Genomic DNA, 7,634 nt, shown 5'->3' with positions numbered 1-7,634 from the left:
TATCTTCTCAATGAGAGTACAAGGAGGCAATGGCTACATACGATGGACAAACCAGAAGCCGCTCCTGGGCTATGTTTACTATTTACTTTTATGGTATAAAAATGTTCTCAGTCAAGCAGTTTCAACAATAGATACCACAGTTCCAATAAAAAGAGGGCTACAAGAAAACTAAGTTAACACATATTTTCAAAAACAATGTCACAAATCAACATGACACACTACAAAAGAGTTGCAAATACCTTTTGTTAGAAGTTTGTCCAGTTCTAAAAGCCTTCATCCTTTGTGCCCCGGGTTGGCAGTCAAGCATGCTTCCGACTAAGCTCAAAGTACAAACTTAAAACTTACCACCTACTCATCTACAATTATTGATTATCAGAAGCTAGGAAACCACAAGAGAAATAAAAATAATCTTGTAACAGGACAGATGTATTATTTCATTTCAATAACACTGAAGTTTCATTTGGCTAAATATACTTCTATAGTCTATTGCAGGAGATTTAATTTCACTGCTACTTATAACTACAAAATAATTATATTCAAACTTTTAATTCTCTACATCCCTAGTTTCAACAATACTTAGCATGCGCCTCTCCCCACCTCACCCTATAACAAAAACGAGTATCTGCAATAGTTTTGCTAACACATTTCAAAATACCCTTGGAGAAACTTGCCTCCTCGTTTTCTATCTTGGTGGTGGTGTTATTAAAACAAGCATACAGACCCTCATTTATGCCAATTTTTATTCCAGTCATTAACAGGAACAGTAAGCTCAGTCTGATAAATTTTAATACTGGAAATACACTTTTCTATATCATGTTGGTAAAAGAAATAATCAGATAACAGTTTAAAAAACCCCTCTTCCATACTCTGAAACCTGAACACTGTTAAATGCTTCATTTTTTTTTAATTAGCCACCTTATTTTTTTTTAAGTTGGTTTTTCCTGAAAACTTTTAAATGACTGTTCTGGTCTGTGGGAGACTCAGGACTCCACAGGACTCTAAAGTTACATGCTATACTAAGCTTTCTAGCACAGGTTTTTTATTTTTCCCCACCCCCAGGACTTCAAACTTGAATAGTCTCAGCATTCCTTTAATCCTACAGAATAGACTTCTGAAAGTTTTTCAAGTTACTGTTGCAATAATCTCAGGGCCTTGTCCTTGTACACGGCCTTCAGAACAAAGGTTAGGTCAAAGTAATGAATATTGGGCGCAAATTAACCAAATTTTGTCTGGTGTGAAAGGACATCCTCAAACCTTTAAGGGTACTTTTTTTTTAATCAGAGATTTTTCAAAGATTTAAATATAAAAGTAAAATAAATTCCGCACAGCCTTAGTTCAAACGAAAAGCCTCCAAAGTAGAAATTTATGTCAATAATTTAAGCAGAGAATAAACCAGCAGTATAACATAAATAACACTTGAGACTATATTTACTATTTCTTAGGATGAATACAAGTCAACACGAAGACATCTGAAGGTATTGAATGTTCGTTCACCAAGTGACAAATACTGAAATGGCTTCCTAAATTCCAGACAAACTACAACTTAGCGATCTGAAAAACATTAGCCTAGACTTTATGAAAGGAAATGCTGCCGTCTCTTCAAGTTGATGTCTAGCCTAAGCCACCATTATTCATGATACAAAGCTCTCATTTCACTAAAACCACTCCTCGATTTCCTTTTGCCGACCTCTGCATACCAGCAGCCTAGTCTTTCTTCATTCACCACTCACAAACTCGAGGGGTGGGGGGAAGACCACAGATGTCTGGAAGATACAAAGTAGGAGACAACGCTCCCTCCAAAAGGGAAGAGAACGAAGGCAACAACTACATACACCCAACTGCCAAAGCTTTCAAGCTTGGCAGATTCAGAAGCAGGCTATAGGAACTTAACTTCGAAAAGTCTCGGTTCAAAGTCCTCTCTCCAGACAAAACACTGAAAGAAGTTGCAATGCTTGAATTCCATTTGGCCAGCTTTGGAGCGAAGGAAAAATTCACTCCGCTGAAAAGAAAACGTGCTCTATAATTCAATTTTAGCTGCCATCAAACTATTTGAATAAATTTAAATTATTTCTACGAACAAAATTCTCGAAGCGGTCTGAGTCAGAGGCTGAATCCTGCAGTTCACTTGGTAAGAAACAGTAAGCCATCACCTTCGCCTTCCTCCACCCCCTTATTTCACCAGGGTCTCATACCCACTACCATAAATCCATAAGACTCCCAGTACATTATCCACTGCTTTCACTCACCTGCATAGTACGCTAAAATACAGGTGCAAGACATGGATTTTTTATGTGCTCACCCTACTGACGCATCGCACCCGCTGCACTTAGAGTTTAGTTGCTCTAAGGTTTAAAGTTGCTTCGATTCAAACTCACATAGCCAGGGCATTAAAAAAAATAATAACACTTCTATTCTTAAGAATGAAAGAGGAAATCTTAAGAGAAAGTCCACTGGTCCGATCCCCAGGACTGATGGGACTTAGGGTGGCGTCTCTGCCTCAGCGCCCGAACCCCAACTCGCCGCAAGAGCTGAGAAGGCGGAGCCCCCCGTCCCCACCCCGCCCCCCACCCAGGGCCCGGCGCATCCCGAGGCACCGGGTCCCTCCCCCAAACTCGGCCAAGGCCAGAGCCCCGGACGGAAACCACAGACCCCCACCCCCACCCCCACCCCGCCTGCCATCCGGGCTCCTGTACGCGCCCCCGCGGCGCCCCCTCCCCGCAAGCGATGCCCCCAGGGCCCCAGAGAGGCAGCGCGACCGGAACCCGGGCCCGGCCGCCGCCCTCCGCGCCCCGGGCGCGGCCCACCCTCACCGTCCCCCACCTGAGCTCCCCGCTCCCAACCCCAGGCCTCCCGGCTGCGCCCAGCCCGCCGCCCGGACCGCGCGCCTGCTACGAAGTTTGGCTCCGAGAGGAAGCGGGAGCAGCCCCGGAAGGATAAGGAAAGGAGCGCCCAAGCACCTCAGGGGAACAGGCTCCTCCCGCCGCGGGAGTCCGACCGTCCTCGACCTGCGGTGGCGGCTCGGCGGGGACTGAAGCTGCTCCTCAGACCTTCCTCCGTCTCCGCCTCCCCTCGCTCTCCGCTCCCGGGGCCGGGCCAACGCTGCTGCCACAGACCGAGAGGCTTAAAATGGCGCCGCACAAGGAGCTCTTATAAGTCGCGCAGAAGCCGCTGTATCCTGCCGCCACCGGCGCAGCGCGGAGCGTTCCGCCGCGCGAGGACAAGGGGCGGGGCGCGAGGGGGCGGTGGAAAGTAGTCCCCGCGCCGCCCAGCAGTCTGCTGCCGTCTGAGCGCCCCGGGCCGGGGTGGGGTGCCTGGGCACCCCACGGACGCTCCCCGGGGTGACGGCTGGCGGCTGCCCGCTGCGCGGCCTGAGGGCAGCCCGTGAGGGCGCTGTGGTCTGCATCGGGGAGGCCGGGCCCCCGCGGCCTGGGTTGGGGAAGGTGGCCCTGGTATCCTCCCCTGTCCCAAGCCCGACGCCCCCGCCCCGCGCGTTTCCCGAACCGGGAGAGCAGCTGCAGGACTCGGCGCGCCTTTCCCGCGGCCTGCGGAAGGTGGCATCTCGGCCCCGGCCTTCGAGTACCGCTCGGGGCGGCCGGGACAGGTCCTGGGAGGGCGGAAGTTCGGGGCCAGGGCGGCGGCAGGGGCTCGGGTTCAGCGCCCGCCCGTCTTGGGGCGCTCCTGGCCCCGCAGCTGCCCCGTCGCTGGTCTGCGGGTTCCCGGCCGGGCGCGGGTTAGGGGGCCTCGCCGACCTTGTGGTCTGTGCCGCACACTCCCTGCTGGACCTGGGTCGCAGCCCAGTCTCACAGCACCCCCAAAGCCCCCCACTGTCCGGATGGTGGATCCCACCTCTCAGCAGGCTGTTCAGCTTGAATTTCGACCTGAATCACCGGGCCGAGCCGCCTTCTGTCCCCACTCACGAAGGCTGTGAACTCTCCGTAGAACGGGCGCCAAGCCCGCAATTCAACAAGTCCTTAGGAGTACCTACTGTGAACAAATAACTAATGGAAATGGATTAGCTCCAGAGCGCTGTCAATTAGGTTAATTCTTATAGATTCCATTTTTATCTGGTTCCACTTGTCACTAGGTATCAATAGATTTATTTGTGGGGATTTTTCTTTGGAGAAGAAGATTTTTACGGTATTACTTATTTGTGAAATCCAAGTATGTTTATAGAGAAAGCTATCGATTAAGCAGCCTCCAATTTTTTAACTAATTTTCTATTTAAAAACGTTTGTAATTCATTTCAATAGACTGAAAAATGTTTCCCATTCTAATGCAGCAAAATTGACGTTTGTCGAAGCTGCAACAAGTATGATCGATTCAGTTTCTCTAGGCTATTGTTTGTGCTTATTTTTCCTCCAAAACATTGGAGAGAGTACAAAAAGCAGCAGTGAAAGTTACCTCTGTGCTTTTATCCCAGGACTACAATTAATACAAGCAAACAATAGGTCTTAACACATAGATGCAGGCGGAAAACCCACTTATTCATTCACTCATGGAGGTAGGATATGTAGTTTAAGGCACAGCTCATGTTTCAGGGCCAGCGTATTCTTTAAATAACTTTTATTTTTGTCTTAAAGATATTTTACTATATAAGTGGTAATGCCAACTGCCGTCTGTCACCATAGCACATGTGGGCCACTGCAGTGGAAAAAGTCTACACACTAAGATGATGTTCAGTGAGATCCATTGTCTAGAAAGACCTTCTCATTTGTATCTTTCCTACTAATTCTGTAGAATCTAAGTGTAGCTATTGGTTGTGGTCACAATTCAAAAAGATTGAACCGAAAAAGGTATTTCATCAAAACCGTGTTTCTAATATAAACTCAAAAGTATAAATGGCGTTTTCAGGTACTGATTCCTAATTTTAATTGTCATTTGCAGAATTAAGGAATATGCAATTGATTAAAGTCATACATTGAAAATCAGACGACAGATTAACCACTTTTACAGGGCTTTTTTTAAAAAAACATGTTTGCTTTTTCTATGTGCAGGTTTTTTGTTTTTGAATAAGGCACTCTTGAAATTGGTTAAGAAATATCTGCACCATTAGAAGATCTAAAGGATAAAAACGTTTCTATATTTGTATTTCTCTGTTCCATTACCAAAATAATGGAATCATTTTTCTATAATTTAAATACTTTAAATTTAGAATTATGATTTTTAATCCCTACTGACACCGTAAACAAATACATTTTATTAAAGAAAATGTAAAATTTGCAACAATGCAGCATGCTGTTTTTCCCATCATATTAAGTGTACTGAAGAATTACTGGTTGACTAGCATTAAACCAAGTTAGTTAAATTTAACATTGCTCCTAATTTTTATTTGCATGTTTCATAAAGCAGAAATTGTTCTAGTTGTCTCACCAAAAATAAGAGATGAATAACTTCTGTGAAATGAAGACAAACACTATCATTAAATCAAAGAAAAATACATTATCAAGATACATGAGTTTGGTAAAATAAGTAATTTTGTTAAATAATTTTTTTGAATTGACCTTGGACAATACATTTCATAAAAACAGTTGGTTATCTGTTTTATGTCTTTTCCTTCTAGAGCCAGTCACCCCGGGTTTGACATAAATTAATTTTATAAAATGGCGACAGACAAGTGGTTCTAATTTTTAGGCTGTGTTCTTAGAAACAAAAGTGTCTCCAGCTAGTTTAAAAGAGAAGATATTTCTTTTCACGCTATCAGGCCACTGGCATATAAAGCAGTGGTAGACTGAACCTGAATGTAAGGCATCCCTTCGCTAAAACAGAGGCTTTTGATTACCTTTAAGAGAGGAAAAAAAAAAAAAAAAGCCAAGATTATTTCACACTTCAGACAGAAATATGAATCACAGAAATATGCCAGTATTGTAAAGAAGGTTCGTTCACTTTTAGGATACTTAACTCTATCAAATCCATTAATTAAACATTTATTGAGCATCTAAGACAATGAGCTTCCCTTAGAGAGAGGGAAACGGATGACTGGCTCCATTTGATTAAGTCTCTTAAATTAATGTAAAATTGTAACTGTTAATCCACCCTATTTAAAAAGAAGCAGAAACGGTAGAAAAAAAGCTGTGAAAGTAGGGTGTGGTCTCACTTGGACTCTACATCCGAATCCCCTCGGAAGGCTCCCTTCCCAGCAGAAAGGTAAGAATAATATTCCATGCATTTAAAAACAAACAATCCCAACTCTCCAAGAAGGCTTGTTAAAAATATTTCTTAGGACAATGTAAAAACACTGGACAACAATCAGGATCAGCTTTTCATTTAGCAGTTCATCAGGTGGGCTATTTATGGATTGGGACTTTTGATTTGTAATACATCATCTCAGGGTTCAGTGTTATCTTTTGATTTCTTTCCAGCTGAACAGGCTAAGTAGTTGTAAATACCTCTTGTCAGACTACATGGTTGGCTATTCTCGCACACAGAAGTAATCTAGGAACCCACTGGGCAAGTTCGGCGGAAAGCCACTGTGGAAAGCTTGCAGCTGATGTATACTGCAGAGCGAGGGAGGGGCGGTGAAGGTGGCGGGAGGCAATGGCCATGGTGGTTGCTATGGCCTGGTCACTTCAGTTATGTCAGGAACACCCTACATGCTTGGAGTTATGTGTACTCGAGGCCTTCATTGGTTTGCCAGACTAAGGAAGTACATTTTAATGGCTACCATACAAAGTATGAAGGAGAAGCAATGGAGTCATCGTCCATGATATTCAAAGAACATAAAGGTATATATGTTTCTCAATGTTTCTAAGAACTCAGACAAGTACCGCTGCATTTCTAAGAAATCATGTTTCGGAGACACACACCCGCAACACACGCACGTGCACACACACACACACCCCATTAAAAATTTCAAAATGGTTGCAGATATTTCATTCACAAGAAGGTTAAAGGCGTTTCCCATCGCAAGAAGGATTAACTTACCGGAGGATTCTGGGACTGCAGATGTATACTGCGGCAAAATCCTAAATTCATCGAAAAAATCATTTCTGGACTCCAGCTGCTAAAAATAATAGAATTATAGTAAATCATGGATAAGATTAAAACAAGCCATTTTCACCTTCCAAAGTATTCAGAAAAAAAAATGATTCTTTTCTTTTAAGTCATTTCTTAAACAATGCAAATTTTAAAGTAGCTTTTCTTTCCAGACCTCGCAGCGCCATGAAATCGATAATTTTTGATCTTTTGGTTAGTAGGCAACATGGTGAGCTATTGCAGGGACTGCAGGCAGCAGACATGTTCTTGTCAGCTAAAAATTTTCATATTGTTTTTGAATCCATTGAGATTTGTAGATGTGATATCACCGGTTTTTTGCTGTAGCTTGCACCAGGCAATAGGGACGCAAACCCTCAGTTTATCGACATATACATGTCTGTTGCTTTATATGTATTAAAAACAGGGAGTCTTACTGGATCTTAAACAAAAAATTATGTAAAAGGAGTGGCTGGTGTGATTATAATCCCATCATGCAGGGTCCACGGTTCCCATTTAGTGAAATTTCGCAGAGGGCAACTTCTTAAGAACATCCCTGCTGTGCAGACTGAAAAGCATGAACAAACCAAAGACAGAATTCATCTGTGTTTATATTTTACAAACAATGAAAAACCTACTCTTTGTATGCCTTTTTTTCCCCACCT

The 7,634-nt window shown here is 43.6% G+C and overlaps 1 protein-coding gene across 12 annotated transcripts in view, besides 7 other annotated features; it reads right to left on the bottom strand.

The window, feature by feature from the left end:
• CTNNB1 (catenin beta 1) overlaps window positions 1–3,123 on the bottom strand; it is a 40,939-nt gene extending 37,816 nt beyond the window's left edge. For 5 of the 12 annotated variants that reach the window (NM_001330729.2, NM_001904.4, NM_001098209.2 and 2 more), the window contains exon 1: window positions 2,958–3,123. The gene's annotated coding sequence lies outside the window, so the exon portion shown is untranslated. The other 7 variants (NM_001438873.1, NM_001438872.1, NM_001438871.1 and 4 more) reach the window with 3 other exon arrangements.
• Window positions 2,253–2,362: an enhancer, noted in NCBI's record as "active region_19725". NCBI's record gives its function as "activates an Ori minimal core promoter by ATAC-STARR-seq in GM12878 lymphoblastoid cells {active_cell/tissue: GM12878}" and the evidence as "EXISTENCE:reporter gene assay evidence [ECO:0000049][PMID:35858748]".
• Window positions 2,474–3,420: an enhancer, noted in NCBI's record as "H3K27ac-H3K4me1 hESC enhancer chr3:41240699-41241645 (GRCh37/hg19 assembly coordinates)". NCBI's record gives its function as "activates a minimal SCP1, AML or CMV promoter by ChIP-STARR-seq in naive H9 embryonic stem cells {active_cell/tissue: H9 hESC(naive)}" and the evidence as "EXISTENCE:reporter gene assay evidence [ECO:0000049][PMID:30033119]".
• Window positions 2,474–3,722: a biological region, named in NCBI's record as "H3K27ac-H3K4me1 hESC enhancer GRCh37_chr3:41240699-41241645".
• Window positions 2,713–2,832: a silencer, noted in NCBI's record as "silent region_14238". NCBI's record gives its function as "represses an Ori minimal core promoter by ATAC-STARR-seq in GM12878 lymphoblastoid cells {active_cell/tissue: GM12878}" and the evidence as "EXISTENCE:reporter gene assay evidence [ECO:0000049][PMID:35858748]".
• Window positions 3,073–3,132: an enhancer, noted in NCBI's record as "active region_19724". NCBI's record gives its function as "activates an Ori minimal core promoter by ATAC-STARR-seq in GM12878 lymphoblastoid cells {active_cell/tissue: GM12878}" and the evidence as "EXISTENCE:reporter gene assay evidence [ECO:0000049][PMID:35858748]".
• Window positions 3,263–3,722: a silencer, noted in NCBI's record as "silent region_14237". NCBI's record gives its function as "represses an Ori minimal core promoter by ATAC-STARR-seq in GM12878 lymphoblastoid cells {active_cell/tissue: GM12878}" and the evidence as "EXISTENCE:reporter gene assay evidence [ECO:0000049][PMID:35858748]".
• Window positions 6,435–7,634: an enhancer, noted in NCBI's record as "CDK7 strongly-dependent group 2 enhancer chr3:41236485-41237684 (GRCh37/hg19 assembly coordinates)". NCBI's record gives its function as "activates an origin of replication core promoter dependent on BRD2, BRD4, P300/CBP, MED14 and CDK7 cofactors, with strong dependence on CDK7, by STARR-seq in HCT116 cells {active_cell/tissue: HCT116}" and the evidence as "EXISTENCE:reporter gene assay evidence [ECO:0000049][PMID:35650434]".

The sequence above is a fragment of the Homo sapiens genome, chromosome 3, assembly GCF_000001405.40.
Source record: "Homo sapiens chromosome 3, GRCh38.p14 Primary Assembly".
Lineage (NCBI taxonomy): Eukaryota > Metazoa > Chordata > Mammalia > Primates > Hominidae > Homo > Homo sapiens.
The sequence above is the reverse complement of the archived record's forward strand: the minus strand, read 5'-3'. Positions and strand labels throughout refer to the sequence as shown.